General features: G+C 44.4%; 1 protein-coding gene across 4 annotated transcripts in view; it reads left to right on the top strand.

Moving 5' to 3' along the window:
- The window catches only part of MED1 (mediator complex subunit 1), a 46,979-nt gene that overhangs the window by 8,598 nt on the left and 18,877 nt on the right, over positions 1-19,504 (top strand). For 2 of the 4 annotated variants that reach the window (XM_006721957.3, NM_004774.4), the window contains exons 4-13: positions 1,989-2,043; positions 2,148-2,280; positions 3,473-3,501; positions 8,346-8,417; positions 10,650-10,724; positions 11,478-11,551; positions 14,876-14,965; positions 17,928-18,039; positions 18,845-18,969; positions 19,221-19,339. In XM_006721957.3, the coding sequence (XP_006722020.1) occupies positions 1,989-2,043; positions 2,148-2,280; positions 3,473-3,501; positions 8,346-8,417; positions 10,650-10,724; positions 11,478-11,551; positions 14,876-14,965; positions 17,928-18,039; positions 18,845-18,969; positions 19,221-19,339 (884 nt within the window). Of the gene's footprint in view, positions 1-1,988; positions 2,044-2,147; positions 2,281-3,472; positions 3,502-8,345; positions 8,418-10,646; positions 10,725-11,477; positions 11,552-14,875; positions 14,966-17,927; positions 18,040-18,844; positions 18,970-19,220; positions 19,340-19,504 lie in introns of those variants that run through there. The other 2 variants (XM_047436314.1, XM_047436315.1) reach the window with 2 other exon arrangements.

Here is a 19,504-nt window from a genome sequence, read left to right as displayed (position 1 = left end):
CAAAGTTCTGGGATCACAGGCGCGAGCCACAGCAACTCGCGAAGTTTTTTTTTTTTTTTTTTTTTTTCCGAGACGGTGTCTCACTCTGTCACCCAGGCTGGAGTGCAGTGGCACAATCTTGGCTCACTGCAACCTCCACCTCCTGGGTTCAAGCGATTCTCCTGGCTCAGCCTCCCAAGCAGCTGGGACTACAGGCGCGTCCCACCACGCCTGGCTAATGTTTTGTATTTTTAGTAGAGATGGGGTTTCACCGTGTTAGCCAGGATAGTATAGATCTCCTGACCTCGTGATCCACCCGCCTCGGCCTCCCAAATTGCTGGGATTACAGGCGTGAGCTACCATGCCTGTCCAGAAGATGGACATTTTAACTCTAAAAAGATTTTTACGGTGTTTATGGAGCAAATTTCCAGGAAAGCAAATGTAAAATATAAGTCATGAGCTTGATTATTCATGCTTATAATGACTAATTCTATTTTTGGGGAATAATGAAAGTAAAAACAGATTTTACTGTGATCCACCAGAAATGAACCTAATTCAGCTGAGGGTTTTTTTTTTTTTTTCTGGAGACAGTGTCTCACTCTGTCGTCCAGGCTGGAGTGCAGTGGCACGATCTCTGCTCACTGCAACCTCCGTTTCCCGGATTCAAGTGATTGTTCTGCCTCAGCCTCCTGAGTAACTGGGATTACAGGCGCCCATTACCATGCTCAGCTAATTTTTGGATTTTTAGTAGAGATGGGGTTTCACCATGTTGGCCAGGGTGGTCTTGGACTCCTGACCTCAGGTGATCTGCCTGCCTTGGCCTCCCAAAGTGTTGGGATTACAGGCGTGAGCCACTTTGCCCAGTCTCAGCTGAGTATTATCTTCTTTACCTTTTTTTGTTTTCTTTTTCTTTGAGACAGAGTGTCGCTGTGTCACCCAGGCTGGAGTGCAGTGGCACGATCTCTGCTCACTGCAACCACTGCGCCCCCACCGGGTTCAAGAGATTCTCTTGCCTCAGCCTCCCGAGAGGGTGGGATTATAGGCGCGCACCACCACACCTGGCTAATTTTTGTATTTTTATTAGAGACAGGGTTTCACCACGTTGGTCAGGCTGGTCTTGAACCCCTGACCTTGTGATCCGCATGCCTCGGTCTCCGAAAGTGTTAGGATTACAGGCGTCAGCCACCGCACGAGGCCTTTTTTTCTGTTTTAATTGTGGTAAAATATAGGTAACAAAATTTACCATTTTCTTTGTTTCTAAGTGTATAGTTCAGTAGCGTTAAGTACATTCATATTATTGTATAATCATCACCACTGTCCATCTGTAAAACTTCACTCATCTTCCCAAGCTTACATTCTGTAATGTCCCATTCCCGCCTTCCCCCAGTCCCTGGCAGCCACCATTCTGCTTCCTGTCTTTATGAATTTGACTACTCTGTATACCTGATATAAGTGGAATCATATATTTGTCCTTTTGTGACTGGCTTATTTCACTAAACGTAATGTCTTCAAGGTTCATCTATTTTGAAGCATTTATTAGAATTTCTTTCTTTTTTAAGGTTGAAAAATACTCCTCTTTATGTATATACATTTCATTTATCCATTCATCTGCTAGTGGACACTTGGATTGTTTTAACCTTTTGACTGTTGTGATTAATGGTGTTGTTAATGTTGAGTTTTTTTTAATGTTAGTTTTAATGTTAATCTTCCTTATTCTATCATTAGCAGATAAATGTGTCTTAAGTTAAAGGCAGTTTGTCCCACATAAGGAGTAATGAAAACAGGAGAGGAGAAAGGTTCGGTAATTTTTCAAATAGATCTTTTTTTTTTGACCTTTAGTACTGCATAGGCCACAGCTAACCCTAATCAGTGAACTTTATGTAAATTACAAGCATTTGAACTACTGAATATGTTTACGGTTTTGGAAGGATGAATCTTTCTGTCTTAAAAGAATATCATTTAAGTCATTTGGAGCATTCTTTGTGACTCCTTTTTTCATCCTTTTATAGTAACATCTTTACCAGCAATGACTGATCGTTTGGAGTCCATAGCAAGACAGAATGGGTAAGTAGTCTTTCTGTAGGCAGAAATGTTTAACTTAGTGTTAACTTTGGGTGGCTTTATTTATGTGTCTTCTATTAATTTTTGTTTTGATTTGTTCCTGCTAGACTGGGCTCTCATCTCAGTGCCAGTGGCACTGAATGTTACATCACGTCAGATATGTTCTATGTGGAAGTGCAGTTAGATCCTGCAGGACAGCTTTGTGATGTAAAAGTGGCTCACCATGGGGAGAATCCTGTGGTATGTGTTGTTGATATTTCACTGGAATCTGTGGGGTTTACTTAGGGACATTAATTTTAAAATTAATTGTTGGGGTTTAAATAGCTTGGGTTTAGGTTTTTCCATGAGCCACTGTAGAGATGATGTGATGGGCTACAAAATCAACAGCTATAGAATGGGATTTAGAAAATATGGGTCCCATCTCTGACATCATCCAAAGGCTTTAACAAGTGGAAACACCATAGGAACCCTTTTCCCTTTCCTTCCTTCCTTCCTTCCTTTCTTTCTTTTCTTTCTTTTTTCTTTCTTTCTTTCTTGCTTGCTTGCTTGCTTTCTTTTTCTTTTCTTTCTTTTCTTTCTTTCTCTTTCTCTCTTTCTTTCTTTCTTTCCTTCCTTCCTTCCTTCCTTCCTTCCTTCCTTCTTTCTTTCTTTCTTTCTTTCCTTCTTTCCTTCTTTTTCTTTTTTTTTTTCCCTGGGACAGAGTCTCGTTCTGTCGCCTGGAGTGCAGTGGCATGATCTTGGCTCACTGTAATCTCTGCCTCCTGGATTCAAGCAATTCTCCTGCCTCAGCCTCCCAAGTAGCTGGGATTACAGGTGTGTGCCACCATGCCTGGCTAATTTTTGTATTTTTAGTAGAGACGGGGTTTCCCTATGTTGGCCAGGCTGGTCTCCAGCTCCTGACCTCAAGTGATCCACCTGCCTCAGCCTCCCAAAGTGTTGGGATTACAGGCATAAGCCACTGCACCGGCAGGAACCCTTTTCATTTCATATCAACAAACATGAGCCACGATTGAACAATAGGTGCTGGGGATACAGAAATAAATGACTCAGGGTTACTACCTTCAAAGAGATTATAATCAAGAACAGATGATCTGAAAAATTATGTAATAGAGATGAATGTAAAATCTGTGTAACCAGATAATTTGATATGAATTCCATGTATGGCATTAGAGTTCCTAATGTTTTAAACAAGCTACTGAAAGTAGATTCTTTTAAAAACTATTTCATATGCTTTGACTTTAAATTTCTCACCCTAATCCTGTGGTTCACCAAGTAGGAAGAAGATGCTTTTTAATATTTTAATATGAGGACCATCTGTAGTTTTAATGGTTTTGTTGTAAAACATGTGCTATAGAAAAAGAGAAAGGCTTTTGATATCTTCAAAGTTGCTAAAGTAGTTTTAATGTTTTAACATAATTTTCTTTGATTTCAGAGCTGTCCGGAGCTTGTACAGCAGCTAAGGTGAGCAAATACGATTTATATTCCTTGATATTGACAGACAGTGCTGTTCTTTACAGCTGGCTTTTAAGACTGGTCAGAAGTTATTCTCCTCAGGAACAAGTTTATTTTCTTGGGCAAAGATTTTTAAGAGTCTATACTTAATCACGTCCTGAATTGACATAGCATAGCTTTTCACCCTACTCTATCCCAGGGTTTTTTTGTTTTCGTTTTTGTTTTGAGATGGAGTCTTGCTCTATTGCCCAGGCTGGAGTGCAGTGGCGCGATCTCAGCTCACTGCAACCTCTGCCTCCTGGGTTCAAGCGATTTTCCTGCCTCAGCCTCCAGAGCGGCTGGGACTGCATGTGTGTGCCACCATGCCCAGCTAATTTTTGTATTTTTAATAGAGACTAGGTGGCTGGGTGCGGTGGCTCACGCCTGTAATCCCAGCACTTTGGGAGGCTGAGGCAGGTGGATCCATGAGGTCAGGAGTTCAAGACCAGACTGGCCAAGATGGTGAAACCCCATCTCTATTAAAAATATAAAATTTAGGCTGACACCTGTAATCCCAGGACTTTGGGAGGCTGAGGCGGGTGGATCATGAGGTCAGGAGATCAAGACCATCCTGGCTAACACGGTGAAACCCCATCTCTACTAAAAAAAGAAAAAATACAAAAAATTAACTGGGTGTGGTGGCAGGCATCTGTGGTTCCAGCTACTAGGGAGGCTGAGGCAGGAGAATGGCGTGAACCTGGGAGCGGAGCTTGCAGTAAGCTGAGATCTCGCCACTGCACTCCAGCCTGGGCGACAGAGCAAGACGCCGTCTCAAAAAAAAAAAAAAAAAAAAAAAATTAGCCAGGCATGGTGGTGGGTACCTGTAATCCCAGCTACTCGGGAGGCTGAGGCAGAAAATTGCTTGAACCCAGGAGGCGGAGGTTGTAGTGTGCTGAGATCGTGCCACTGCACTCCAGCCTGGGTGACAGAGCAAGACTCCATCTCAGAAAAAAAAAAAAAATAGAGACGAGGTTTCGCCATGTGGGCCAGGCTGATCTTGAACTCCTGACCTCACATCTCCCAAAGTGCTGGGATTACAGTTGTGAGCCACCATGCTGGACCCTTTTCTTTTCTTTTCTGTTTTTTTTTGAGACGGAGTTTTGTTCTTGTTACCTAGTCTGGAGTATAATGGTGCGGTCTCGGCTCACTGAGCACCTGGCCCCTTTTCTGTTTTTTTATTTTTATTTTTATTTTTTTGGTGAGACGGAGATTTACTTTTGTTGCCCAGGCTGGAGTGCAATGGTGTGATCTTGGCTCACCGCATCCTCTGCCTCCTGGGTTCAAGTGATTCTCCTGCCTCAGCCTCCCGAGTAGCTGGGATTACAGGCATGTGCTACCACGCCCTGCTAATTTTGTATTTTCAGTAGAGACGGGGTTTCACCGTGTTGCCCAGGCTGATCTCAAACTCCTGACCTCAGGTGATCCTCCTGCCTTGGCCTCCCAAAGTGCTGGGATTATAGGCATGAGCCACTGTGCCCGGCCCCTGTTTTTTTAAGTTTTAATTTTTTTTTTCTTATTTTGATTCAGATTCCCAACAGAAAGATATCCCAGGGTCTCTTAAACTTGGTACTAATGACAATTTGGATTGGAAAATTCTTTGCTCCCGGGTGGCCTGGTGCATTCTATTATGTTTAATAGCATCCCTGGCCTCTTCATTAGTTGCTAGTAGTATCTCCTTAGTTGTTACAACCATGTCCCCTGGGGCACAAAATCACCCCTGGTTGGGAATTGGTGATCTAGGTTTAGGAATTTCATATAGCTGGGGGCGGTGGCTCATGCCTATAATCCCAACAATTTGGGAGGTCGAAGTGAGCAGATCACTTGAGGCCAAGAGTTCAAGACCAGCCTAGCCAGCCTGGCGAAACCCTGTCTCTACAAAAAATACAAAAATTGCTGAATGTGAGGCCAGGCGCGATGGCTCATGCCTGTAATCCCAGCACTTTGGGAAGCCGAGGCAGGCGGATCACCTGAAGTCAGGAGTTCGAGACCAGCCTGACCAACACGGAGAAACCCCGTCTCTACTAAAAATACAAAATTAGCCGTGCGTGGTGGCACATGCTTGTAATCTCAGCTACTTGGGAGGCTGAGGCAAGAGAATCGCTTGAACCCGGGAGGCAGAGGTTGTGGTGAGCCAAGATCATGCCATTACAGTCCAGCCTGGGCAACAAGAACAAAACTCTGTCTCAAAAAAAAAAAAAAAGTAGCTGAGCATAGTGGCTCACACGTGTAATCCCAGCTACTCAGGAGGCTGAGGCACAAGATGGCTTGAGCCTGGGAGGTGGAGGTTGCAGTGAGCTGGGATCACATCACTGCATTCCAGCCTGGGTGACGGAGTGAGACTGTCTCAAAAAAAAAAATAATAAAGAATTATGTGTGGAACAAAATAAATAGAAGGTAATCATTGAATCAGTGAAGGCTTGATAATTGAGTATGATACCATGAAAATAACTTTTTCGCTTTGATTTTGGGAAAAATTGTTTCATTTAGAAGGTACATGTGTGTTACAGTAAAAGTGCTAGGCTTGAAGACAGTCGCTTTTAGCAGATAGTGGATTTTTTCACTTTTCTTTTAATTGAGTGGAAATTTCTGTACTTAAATTTAAACTCAGAGTTAAGACTTTTGGGGAATTTAAGGAAGTTATTACATACACTTTGTTTTGAGCATTGCGAAGTTCTCAGGCACCACATGAGGATGTCTTAGAGTGTTCACATTGAGGAAATAAGTTGTGTATGTGTGTGTGCAAAAGCTTTTTTTTTTTTTTTTTTCTTTTTTTTGAGTTGGAGTCTTGCTCTGTCGCCCAGGCTGGAGTGCAGTGGTGTGCTCTCTGCTCACTGCAAGCTCCGCCTCCTGGGTTCATGCCATTCTCCTGCCTCAGCCTCCCGAGTAGCTGGGACTACAGGCACCTGCCACCATGCCCGGATAATTTTTGTATTTTTAGTAGAGACGAGGTTTCATCGTGTTAGCCAGGATGGTTTCGATCTCCTGACCTCGTGATCTGCCCGCCTCGGCCTCCCAAAGTGCTGGGATTACAGGTGTGAGCCACCGCACCCGGCCTTTTTTTTCGAGATGGTGTGTCACTCTGTTGCTCAGGCTGGAGTACAGTGGCGCAATCTCGGCTCACTGCAACCTCCCCCTCCCGGGTTCAAGCGATTTTCCTGCCTTAGCCTCCTGAGTAGCTGGGATTATGGGTACCTGCCATTATGCCCGGCTAATTTTTGTAGTATCCAGGCATGGTGAAACCTTATGTCTACTAAAAATACAAAAAATTAGCCGGGTGTGGTGGTGCTCGTCTGTAATTCCAGCTACACAGGAGGCTGAGGCTGGAGAATTGCGTGAACTCAGGAGGTGGAAGTTGTAGTGAGCTGAGATCGTGCCATCGCCATCGGACTCCAGCCTGGACGACAGAGTGAGACTCTGTCTCAAAAAAGAAAAGGAGAAAAAAAGAAATAATGTTGACTTTTACCTGATATTACCATTTAGTATAGATGGTAATATTAAGTTAAAGAATATATTTTGCTGCTACTCGTTTCTTTTTGCTGTCTTAATAGCACTGTTGACTGTAAGTGCTCAGTAAATGCTCACAGAATGTCTGCTCAAGTGTCTGACATTGTCATGGCAGTTTAGCTTTCCAGAGAGCTTTTTTTTTCAAGTTTGAAAAAAGATATCAAGAGTTAGAATTGTGGAGATGTATTGGATTCCTAAACCTATCCACAAAAGCCCATTTGTCCGACAATCGAAGCCTGAATATTGGGTCCTAGAAAGCCAGAGGTCACGGTAGTAGTTTATGTTTTCTAGGGTAGATCTGGTCGTAGCAATATTTTCTAATGGGTATTTTGCCTCGAGAGTACCCACTACCTTTTCTCTGGGTCTCCATCTCTGTCCTAGTATTTGTTTTCCCTCTCATCTTTGCTCTCATGTTGCTGTATACCCACAAGTGTTGTGTCTTCCCAATTTATTTTCTTTTTTTGACACACAGTCTTGCTCTGTTGCCCAGGCTGGAGTGCAGTGGCGCGATCTCGGCTCACTGCAAGCTCCGCCTTCTTGGTTCATGCTGTTCTCCTGCCTCAGCCTCCTGAGTAGCTGGGACTACAGGTGCCCGCCACCACACTCGGCTAATTTTTTTTTGTATTTTTAATAGAGATGGGGTTTCACCATGCTAGCCAGGATGGTCTCGATCTCCTAACCTCATGATCCACCCACCTTGGCCTCCCAAAGTGCTGGGATTACAGGCGCGAGGACTGTGCCTGGCCCTTCCTAATTTATTTTCTTCTTATTATCTCTGCAATCAAAAGTTTTATTTTTGTTGACATCCAAATTCAGTTACATATTTGGAGGAAAGGAGCTGGGTGTGGTGGTGCACACCTGTTGTTGAAGGTGAGAGGTTGAAGTGAGAGCATTGCTGAAGTCCTGGAGTTAGAGTCTGGCCTGGGCAACATCGGGAAACCCCGTCTCTACAAAAAAATTAATAAAAAGGGAAAAGAAAGGAAAGTTGTTAATGATTGATTTAAATCAGGTTTCATTGCTTGGGAGCTAATAAAACACCTGGTAAAGAGATTTTGCCCACCTTCCTTTTAACTTTCACACTGCTTATTAGCACCTTCTCCAGAAAAAATGGAGGAGGGAGACAAAGGAAAATATTTTCTTTTCTTTTGCTGCTTTACATTGATGCTAGAAAACTTTTGAGGAAAATGGTTAAAGCTGATTATTAAAATCAGTTTTATATAGCTGTGATTTTTGGCACTTTGTTGTAAGATTGAGTAGTAATTTTATGTTTTATTTTCCTCTCTTTCCCCTCTTCCCTGAACTCCTTATAGGGAAAAAAATTTTGATGAATTTTCTAAGCACCTTAAGGGCCTTGTTAATCTGTATAACCTTCCAGGGGACAAGTAAGTATTTTTAATATTTTTGCTTTTGTTTGTAAAAATCAGTATAAATCTATAAGCCACCTTATGCCTAGAAATTTGCCACCTCTTCTGCTGTTTGTCACTCCTAGTTTCTACTTATACTGCAATCTGTAGCTCAGCTTCCAACATTGGGCCTTTCAAAGATATCTTCAATAGGCAGCACCTGCATTAATCGATCATAATGCTGGAAGACAGAATATAATCTTTGAGATGTCCAACATTCCAATTTCTAGGCTGAAAGGAATTAGTTGCTGTGGAACTGGCTTTAATTCTATTTTTAACCTACCTGGGATTCTATTAACGTATTTGGCTTTTTAAAACAGAGATAAAAATAAGCTTTGAAGTGCTAAAAATAGGCTTTAATAGTAGTGAAGCCAGTCAAAGTGGCCCATGCCTCTAATCCCAGTACATTGGGAGGCCAAGACAGGAAGATTTCTTGAGCTCAGGAGATCAATACCAGCCTGGGCAACATAGTGAGACCCTGTCTCTAGCAGAAAGACAACAGCAACAGCTTAGATGGGTGGTGATGGGTGCATGTAGTCCCAGCTACTTCGGAGGCTAAGGTGGGACGATCACTTCAAACTAGTAGTTTGAGGGTGCAGTGAGCAGTGATTGCGTCACTGTGCTCCAGCCTGGTTGACAGAGCGAGATGCTGTCTCAAAAAAAAAGAAAAAATATGTGTGTATATATATATATATATATAGTAACAAAAAAAATTTATTTTAAAAATTAATGTTTTAGGCTGGGCACAGTGGCTCACTCCTTTAATCCTGGCCACTTTGGGAGGCTGAGGTGGGTGGACCACCTGAGGTCCAGTCAAGAATTAATGTTTTAAAATGTTTTTTTTTTTTCTTTTTTTTTAAATACGGATTGTCGCTCTGTCACCCAGGCTGGAGTGCAGTGGCATGACCTCAGCTCACTGCAGCCTCCACCTCCCGGGTTCAAGCAGTTCTCCTGCCTCAGCCTTCCGAGTAGCTGGGTTTACGGCTATGCGCCACCACGCCCGGCTAATTATTATAATTTTTTTTGAGATGGACTCTTGCTCTGTCGCCCAGGCTGCAGTACAGTGGTGCCATCTCGGCTCACTGCAACCTCCGCCTCCTGGGTTCAAGCGATTCTCCTGCCTCAGCCTCCCGAGTAGCTGGGATTAAAGGCGCCCACCACTGACCTGGCTAAGTTTTGCATTTTTAGTAGAGGTGGGGTTTCACCATCTTGGCCAGGCTGGTCTCGAACTCCTGACCTTGATCCACCCGCCATGGCCTCCCAGAGTGCTTGGATTATAGGCGTGAGACATTGCGCCCAGCCACCTGGCTAATTTTTGTATTTCTAGTAGAGACAGGGTTTTACCATGTTGGTCAGGCTGGTCTCAAACTCCTGACCTCACGTGATCTACCCGCTTCGGCCTCCCAAAGTGTTGGGATTACAGGCGTGAGCCACCGCGCCTGGCCAGTTTTTTTTTTGGTTTTTGTTTTTTTTTGGAGACAGAGTCTCGCTCTGCCACCAGGCTGGAATGCAATGGCATGATCTCGGTTCACTGCAACCTCCACCTCCCGGGTTCAAGCAATTCTCTTGCCTTAGTCTCCCAAGTAGCTGGGACTACAGGCGCATGCTGCCACGCCTGGCTAATTTTTTTTTTTTGTATTTTATTAGAGACGGGGTTTCACCGTGTTGCCCAGGCTGGTCTCAAACTCCTGAGCTCAGGCAATCTGCCCTCCTCGGCTTCCCAAATTGCTAGGATTATAGGCATGAGCCACTGCGCCTGGCCAGTTTTTAAAAATATATATATATTTTTGCCTTCAATTTAGACTTGCTCTTTAGGCCTTCTATGTCACTGTTTGTGTCTGTATGTATATATGTGTATTTTTCAACTTTTTTTTTTTTTTTTTTTGAGATGGAATCTTGTTCTGTCACCCAGGCTGGAGTGCAGTGGTATGATCTTGGCTCACTGCAACCTCTTCCTCTCGGGTTCAAGCAATTCTCCTGCCTCACCCTTCCGAGCAGCTGGGATTACAGGTGCCTGCCACCACGCTCGGCTAATTTTTGTAGTTTTAGTAGAGATGGGGTTTTGCCATGTTGGCCAGGCCGGTCTCAAACTCCTGACCTCAGGTGATCTGCCCGCCTCAGCCTCCCAAGGTGCTGGGATTACAGGCTGAGCCACCCCGCTTGGTCATATTTTTCAACTATTAACTCATGTTCTTCTCATCTACTCTCCAGCAAACTGAAGACTAAAATGTACTTGGCTCTCCAATCCTTAGAACAAGATCTTTCTAAAATGGCAATTATGTACTGGTAAGACTGCTAAAACCTTAATTCTACATGATCCCTTGAGTTTTTCTCTGGGGAGATTAGGGTCCTATTTTATACATCTCTATTAAGCCTGTATGATAATATGTCCTTTCTCTTCCAAAATGATGATTGTATTTGAACTTCTGAGTATCAGTATCGCTAAGTTGTTGGTTACCATAGGTTTTATCTCAAGACTCATCAGACCTGGAGTCCCATCTGAGAAATAATAGTCTAAGTGTAATTTTTGTTCACCATACTACATACTGGTGTGTACTTGGAAATAATCCCTTTACTTTGGAGGTGAAATACATTTGCTATATGCCCAATTACAAGACAGAACCATTATGATAGTATTATAAGACTTTGGGCTGGGCGCGGTGGCTCACGCCTGTAATCCCAGCACTTTGGGAGGCCGAGGCGGGCGGATCACCTGAGGTCACGAGTTCGAGACCAGCCTGCCCAATATGGTGAAACCCCGTCTCTACTAAAAATACAAAAAATTAGCTGGGCGTGGTGGCGGGCGCCTGTAATCCCAGCTACTCGGGAGGCTGAGGCAGGAGAATCACTGGAACCTGGGAAGCGGAGGTTGCGGTGAGCTGAGATTGTACCACTGCACTTCAGCCTGGGCGACAAGAGCGAAACTCCGTCTCAAAAAAAAAAAAAGACAAGACTTCGGAGAGGTGAACTCAATATCACAGTGTGTACCAAGACCATCAGGGATTAAATATAAGCAAACATAGATCACTTGTCTTACAGGAAAGCAACTAATGCTGGTCCCTTGGATAAGATTCTTCATGGAAGTGTTGGCTATCTCACACCAAGGAGTGGGGGTACGTGATCCTATTTTGCTTGTTTAGAAACATGTGTAATTTAAGTTGAGGGTCATTACTTTTCATTTCACCTTTAGTTTGTTTGTTTATTTTTTTGAGACAGAGTCTCACTTTGTTGCCCAGGCTGGAGTGCAGTGGCATGATCTCGGCTTACTGCTCCTTCCACCTCCTGGGCTCAAGTGAATCTCATGCCTCAGCCTCCTGAGTAGCTGGGATTACAGGTGTGCACCACAATAGCCAGCTAATTTATTCTATTGTTGGTAGAGACAGGGTTTCACTGTTTTGGCCAGGCTGGTCCTGAACTCCTCGCCTCGACTGATCGGCCTACCTTGGTCTCCCAAAGTGCTGGGATTACAGGCATGAGCCACTGCGCCCAGCCTATTTATTTGTTAATTTTTATTCTGTTTTTTTTTTTTTTTTTTAAGACGGAGTCTTGCTCTGTTGCCCAGGCTGGAGTACAGTGGCGCGATCTCAGCTCACTGCAAGCTCCGCCTCCCAGGTTCACGCCATTCTCCTGCCTCAGCCTCCAGGGTAGCTGGGACTACAGGCGCCCGCCACCACGCCTGGCTAATTTTTTTGTATTTTTTAGTGGAGACGGGGTTTCACAGCGTTAGCCAGGATGATCTCGATCTCCTGACCTCGTGATCTGCCCGCCTCAGCCTCCCAAAGTGCTGGGATTACAGGCATGAGCCACTGCGCCTGGCCAATTTTTATTCTTATGTATTTGTTTATTTTTCTTGAGACAGGCTCTCACCAGGCTGGAGTGCAGTGGCACAATCTTGGATCACTGTAACCTCTGCCTCCTGGGTTCAAGGGATTCTCCTGCCTCAGCCTCCCGAGTAGCTGGGATTACAGGCATGTGCCACCACACCCGACTAATTTTTGTATTTTTAGTAGAGATGGGGTTTCACCATGTTGGCCAGGCTGGTCTCAAATTCCTGACTTCAAGTGATCCTCCCTCCTCGGCTGCCCAAAGTGCTGGGATTACAAACAGGTATTAGCCACTGCACCAATCCCTATTTATTTATTTTTGAGACAGGGTCTTGCTGTGTTGCCCAGGCTGGAGTGCAGTCGTGCAATCATGACTCACTCCAGCCTCAACCTCCTGGGCCCAAATAATCCCCCTAACTCAGTTTCCTGAGTAGCTTGGACTACAGGTACAGGATACCATGCCTGGCTAATTTTTGTTGTTTTATAGAGACATGGTCTTACTATGTTGCCTAGGCTGGTCTTGAACTGGGATCAAGTGATCTTCCTGCCACTGCATTGCAAAGGGTTGGGATTATAAGCATAAGCCACTGCGCCCGGCCTCATCTTGGGGTTTATAAACATATAAGCAGAGGGAGAAAATTGCCAGATATTTGTGTATTTTGTGATGATTTCTTCCTTTTTTTTTTTTTTTTTTTTTTTTTAGGCATTTAGGCAGAGTCTTGCTCTGTCTCCCAGGCTGGAGTGCAGTGGCGCGATCTTGGCTCATTGCAACCTCTGCATCCTGGGTTCCAGCAATTCTCTTGCCTCAGCCTCCCATGTAGCTGGGATTACAGGCACGTGCCACCGTGCCCAGCTAATTTTTGTATTTTTACCAGAGACAGGGTTTCACCATGTTGGCCAGGCTGGTCTCGAACTCCTGACCCTAGGTGAGCTGCCTGTCTCGGCCTCCCAAAGTGCTGGGATTATAGGCGTGAGCCACTGCGCCTGGGCTTTTTGCGATGATTTCTAAGCTGTCAATACCTGTCCTCCCCATTTTTGTTTGTTATCTTTTTGAGACAGAGCCTTGCTATGTCCCTCTGGCTGAAGTACAGTGGCAGAAACATAGCTCACTTCAGCCCTTAACTCTTGGGCTTAAGTGATCTTCCCACCTCAGCCCCCTGAGTAGCTAGGACTTCAGTCAAGTGCCACCATGCCTGGGTAACTTTAACAATTTTTTTAGAGATGGGGGTCTCACTGTGTTGCCTAGGCTAGAGTGCAGTGGTGCAGTCATAACTCACTATAGACTTGAACTCCTGGCTTCAAGTGATCCTCCAGCCTCAGCCTCCCAAAGTGTTGGGATTATAAGCGTGAGCCAGTTCACCTGGCCTTTTTTTTTTTTTAAATCAATTGTGTGAAATAAATTGTTAGTCCCGGAATCCATACTTCATCTTCTGTCATATGTCTTTTTTTTTTGAGATGGAGTCTTGCTCTGTCACCCAGGCTGGAGTGCAGTGGCACGATTTTAGCTCACTGCAACCTCCACCTCCTGGGTTCAAGCAATTCTCCTGTCACAGCCTCCCGAGTAGTTGGGACTACAGGTGCGAGCCACCATGCCTGGCTAATTTTTTGTATTTTTAGTAGATACAAGGTTTCACCATGCTGGCCAGGCTCGTCTTGATCTCCTGACCTCGTGATCTGCCCACCTTGGCCTCCCAAAGTGCTGGGATTACAGGTGTGTGCCACCACACCCAAGCGCCTGTCATATTTCTTTATTTTTTATTTTTACTTTTTGAGACGGGGTCTTGCTCTGCCTTCCAGGCTGGAGTGCAGTGGCACAATCACGGCTCATTGTATCCTTGACCTCCCACCTTAACTTCCTGAGTAGCTGGGACTACGGGCACTCACCAGCATGCCAGGCTAATTATTATTATTATTATTTTTGAGACGGAGTCTCCCTCTGTTGCCAGGGCTGGAGTGCAGTGGCATGATCTCAGCTCACTGTAACCTCCGCTTCCTGGGTTCAAGCGATTCTTCTGCCTCAGCCTCCTGCATAGCTGGGACTACAGGCGCGTGCCACCATGCCCAGCTAGTTTTTTGTATTTTTAGTCAAGATGGGGTTTCACCATGTTAGTCAGGATGGTCTCAATATCCTGACCTTGTGATCCGCCTGCCTTGGCCTCCCAAAGTTGTGGGATTACAGGCATGAGCCACCGCACCTGGCCAATTTTTTGTATTTTTAGTAGAGATGGGGTTTCACCATGTTGGCCAGGCTGGTCTTGAACTTCTCTCCTCAGGTGATTCACCATCTTTACCTCCCAAAGTGCTAGGATTACAGGCATTAGCCATCGCGCCCGGCCTATTATTATTATTTTTAGAGGTGGAGTCTGACTGTGTTGACCATGCTAGTCTCAAACTCCTGGACTCAAGTGATCCTCTTGCCGGAGCCTCCCAGAGAGCCAGGATTACAGGTGTGAGTCACCACACCTGCCATATTTCATAAGCTGTTTTGGAGCATGACTCTTCATATATGTTAAAGTACTTTCTTGAATATCGGTTTATATAATAAATGTTAATGTTTTTCTGTGTTTGTAATTTACCTGATAAAGATACAGTTATGAGTTTTATTTTTTATAGGTCATTTAATGAACCTGAAGTACTATGTCTCTCCTTCTGACCTACTGGATGACAAGACTGCATCTCCCATCATTTTGCATGAGAATAATGGTAAGACTTTAATTGTAAAGGAATTAAAGGTTTTGTTCGGTGCCCAGCTTGCCTTTAATTTCTGGTTTGCTATTCTCTAATGAGTTTGTTGACCTTACCATTTGCACCTTATACACACAACACCTCACACACGTATATGTGTGTTCACAAGTACATACATATGTATATACACACATGCATATATACACACATACATAATAGGAGCTTAATAAGTACTTTTGGGCTGGGCACGGTGGCTCACGCCTGTAATCCCAGCACTTTGGGAGGCTGAGGTGGGCAGATCACGAGGTCAGGACTTGGAGACCAGCCTGACCAACATGGTGAAACCCTGTCTCTACTAAAAATACAAAAATTACCCAAGCATGGTGGTACGCGCCTGTAATCCCAGCTACTCAGGAGGCTAAGGCAAGAGAATTGCTTGAACCCGGGAGGAGGAGGTTGCAGTGAGTCAAGATTGCGTCACTGCACTCCAGTCTGGGTGACAGAGCGAGACTCCATCTCAAAAAAAGAAAAAAAGTACTTTTGAATAAATAAGTAAATGAGCAACTCATAAGAAGAGATATAAACGATCTGACCTGAGATAATCAGCTTACTCATTGTTTAAAAAGTGTAGAAGGATGGGCCTGGTAGTTTATGCCTGTAGTCCTAGCTACTTGGGAGGTTTGGGCGGGAGGATTGCTTGAGCCCAGGAGTTTGAGACTGTAGCATACCATGATCGTGCATGTAAATAGTCATGGTACTCCAGCCTGGGCAACGTAGTGAGTTACTGATCAAAAAAAAAGTGAAGTTTTCTAAATTAAAGAACTATGGTAATGGACATTATTTTCTGTTTGCCCTTGATACAAGAAAAGATAAAGAGAGATAGACTGCCGGGCGCGGTGGCTCATGCCTGTAATCCCAGCACTTTGGGAGGCTGAGGTGGGCGAATCACCTGAGGTCAGGAGTTCGAGACCAGCCTGACCAACATGGAGAAACCCTGTCTCTACTAAAAATACAAAATTAGCCAGGCGTGATGGCCCATGCTTGTAATCCCAGCTACTCAGGAAGCTGAGGCAGGAGAATCGCTTGAACCTGGGAGGCGGAGGTTGCAGTGAACCGAGATTGTGCCATTGCACTCCAGCCTGGGCAACAAGAGCAAAACTCTGTCTCAAAAAAAAGTGAAATGGACTAATACCTCCTTAGGTCCCTTTGTAGCTTCACTCATTGACTCCATCCCTTTATTGTTTGTTTGTTTGTTTGTTTATTTATTTATTTAAGATGGAGTCTCACTCTGTCACCCAGGCTGGAGTGCAGTAGTGCGATCTCAGCTCACTGCAACCTACACCTCCTGGGTTCAAGTGATTCTCCTGCCTCAGCCTCCCAAGTAGCTGGGACTACAGGCATGCACCACCACACCCGGCTAATTCTTGTATTTTTAGTAGAGATGGGGTTTCACTATGTTGGCCAAGCTGGTCTTGAACTCCTTACCTGAAGTGATCCACCTGTCTTGGCCTCCGAAAGTGCTAGGATTACAGGTGCGAGCCTTGGCGTCAGGCTCCTTTATTGTTATTATAATTTGGCATGGGGGACGGGGTAGGTCTCACTGTGTTGCCCAGGCTGGCGTACAGTGATTTGATCACAGCTCACTACAGCCCCCGAAGTCCTGGGCTCAAGCCATCCTCCCGCCTTGGCCTCCCAAAGTGCTAGGATTACAGGTGTGAGCCAGTGCACCAGCCTGTCCTTTTATTATGATCCTACTTAAATGCATTCTGAAGAAAAAATAAGTAAATATTGATACTGAACCCTTCAAAAATGATGTTTTTGGACTGCATTGTTTCTTGTGTTTTATTTACTGACAAAAATTATTGGTTGATTAGAAAGGTAACTTCCAGGATTTCTAATTTTTTTTTTTTTTTTCCCCAGACAGAGTCTCACTCTGTCGCCCAGGCTGGAGTGCAGTGGTGCGATTTCGGCTCACTGCAACCTCCGCCCCCCAGGTTCAAGTGATTCTCCTGCCTCAGCCTCCTGAGTAGCTGGGATTACAGGCGCCTGTCACCACACCTGGCTAATTTTTGTGTTTTTAGTAGAGATGCGGTTTCACCGTCTTCTGCAGGCTGGTCTTGAACCCCTGACCTTGTGATCCACCCGCCTCAGCCTCCCAAAGTGCTGGGATTACAGGCATGAGCCATCACACCTGGCCTGATTTCTAAGTTTTATAGGAACTACAGGCCGTGCCTGGTGGTTCATGCCTGTAATTTCAGCACTGTGGGAGGCTGAGATGGGTGGATCAACTTTAGGCCAGGAGTTTGAGACCAGCCTGGCCAACCTGATGAAACCCCCATCTCTACAAAACATACAAAAAAATTAGCCAGGCATGGTGGTGCATTCCTGTAATGCCATGTACGTGGGAGGCTGAGGCATGAAAATTTCTTGAACCTGGGAGGTGGAGATTGCAGTGAGTCGAGATCACACCACTGCATTCCAGTCTGGACAGAGTGAGACTCTGCCTCCAATAAAAAAATAAATAAATAGGCTGGGCGCAGTGATTCACACCTGTAATCCCACCTGTAATCCTAGTCCTTCGGGAGGCCAAGATGGGCGGATCATGAAGTCAAGAGATCGAGACCATCCTGACCAACATGGTGAAACCCCATCTCTACTAAAAATACAAAAAATTAGCCGGGCATGGTGATGGGCGCCTGTAGTTCCAGCTACTTGGGTGGCTGAGGCAGGAGAATGGTGTGAACCCAGGAGGTGGAGCTTGCAGTGAGCTGAGATTGCGCCACTGCACTCCAGCCTGGGTGACAGAGCAAGACTCTGTCTCAAAATAAATAAATAAATACATAAATAAATAAATAAGGGAATAACAGCATCTGATAAATTATAGCTGACAAATATTGCAAAAATTAACCTCTTAAAACATACTGTGATTCCCATCATTTGTATTACTTTGAGGAATACCCTTTTTCTTTCCTATCCCCAGTTTCTCGATCTTTGGGCATGAATGCATCAGTGACAATTGAAGGAACATCTGCTGTGTACAAACTCCCAATTGCACCATTAATTATGGGGTCACATCCAGTTGACAATAAATGGTAAGTTAAATATAATTTTAGAGTAGCAAAGTCAATTTTTCTCAAAGCGCAGTATGTAACAAGTTTTAACCTGGCTGTTACCCCACTTGAATTTCTAGAGGTTGGCCTTTTGTTTTATCCATTCATTGGTTTCTCTTTTGTTTGATATCTGAGTGTTCCTCTCCAAAGTCGGCTCGTAGAACACATTCTCTGCACTGAAAGGGAAAGAAGAGAACTGTGCTAATTCCTCTGGCTTAATGAGTGCCCCCTTTTATCTTACGTTCATTAGTTACATTGGAGTAATAACTGGAGAACATGCCTCAGGATAAATGTTTGATTAAATTCTACAGTGTTAACCAATAGCATGTCTGGGAATTGGGGGTAGGAAGTTTCACAGAGTGAGCTTTTGAGAGTTTGTACTTATGTGTCTGTGTGATACATACATGTTTAAGAATAGGTGTTTGTGGCCAGGCATGGTGGCTCACGCCTGTAATCCCAGCACTTTGGGAGGCTGAGGCAAGTGGAACACCTGAGGTCAGGAGTTCAAGACCAGCCTGGCCAACATGGTGAAACCCCATCTCTACTAACAATACAAAAATTAGCCGGGCGTGGTGGCGGGCACCTGTAGTCCCAGCTACTCACGAAGCTGAGATAGGAGAATCCCTTGAACCCGGGAGGCAGAGGTTGCAGTGAGCCAAGATCACGCCATTGCACTCTAGCCTGGGCATTAAGAGGGAAAATCTGTCTCAAAAAAAAAAAAGGTGTTTGGGTTTTTCATTTTTATATCAAGTCAGAATCCAACCCTTCCACCCTCTTTTTTTTGAAGGACCCCTTCCTTCTCCTCAATCACCAGTGCCAACAGTGTTGATCTTCCTGCCTGTTTCTTCTTGAAATTTCCCCAGCCAATCCCAGTATCTAGAGCATTTGTTCAGAAACTGCAGAACTGCACAGGTGAGTTTTGAGCATCAGGATCTAGTACTTGTTATAAATGTGAAAAAGAAACTTCAAAGTCAGGTTATCATGACGTCTTTCAGTCTTACATGCCTCATTGAAGTATTACTGGTAAAGATGTTATAGTGCTTTGTACTAGTAAATGCTTAGTAAGTACTCTTTTGGGTGAATGAATGTAGATATCAAGGGGAAACTGAGCTGTCAGTGTTTTCATCTTAACATGATCATTATATTGATTCTTGTTTTTCCAGGAATTCCATTGTTTGAAACTCAACCAACTTATGCACCCCTGTATGAACTGATCACTCAGTTTGAGCTATCAAAGGACCCTGACCCCATACCTTTGAATCACAACATGAGATTTTATGCTGTAAGTAAAGCCCTAGGGAGCTAGAATGTTGTAGGTTATGTTTGGACCCAAGATCATAATCTTCCTTTATAGCATTATTGAGGTCAGATAAGTTTCTTCAAGACTGCTGGATCATGTCCTATTTCTTTAGTAAGGCAGGAAATTACAGAAATCTCAGAAATGGGC

This window comes from Homo sapiens, chromosome 17, assembly GCF_000001405.40.
Source record: "Homo sapiens chromosome 17, GRCh38.p14 Primary Assembly".
Taxonomy (NCBI): domain Eukaryota; kingdom Metazoa; phylum Chordata; class Mammalia; order Primates; family Hominidae; genus Homo; species Homo sapiens.
This window is presented reverse-complemented; position numbering and strand designations above follow the sequence as displayed.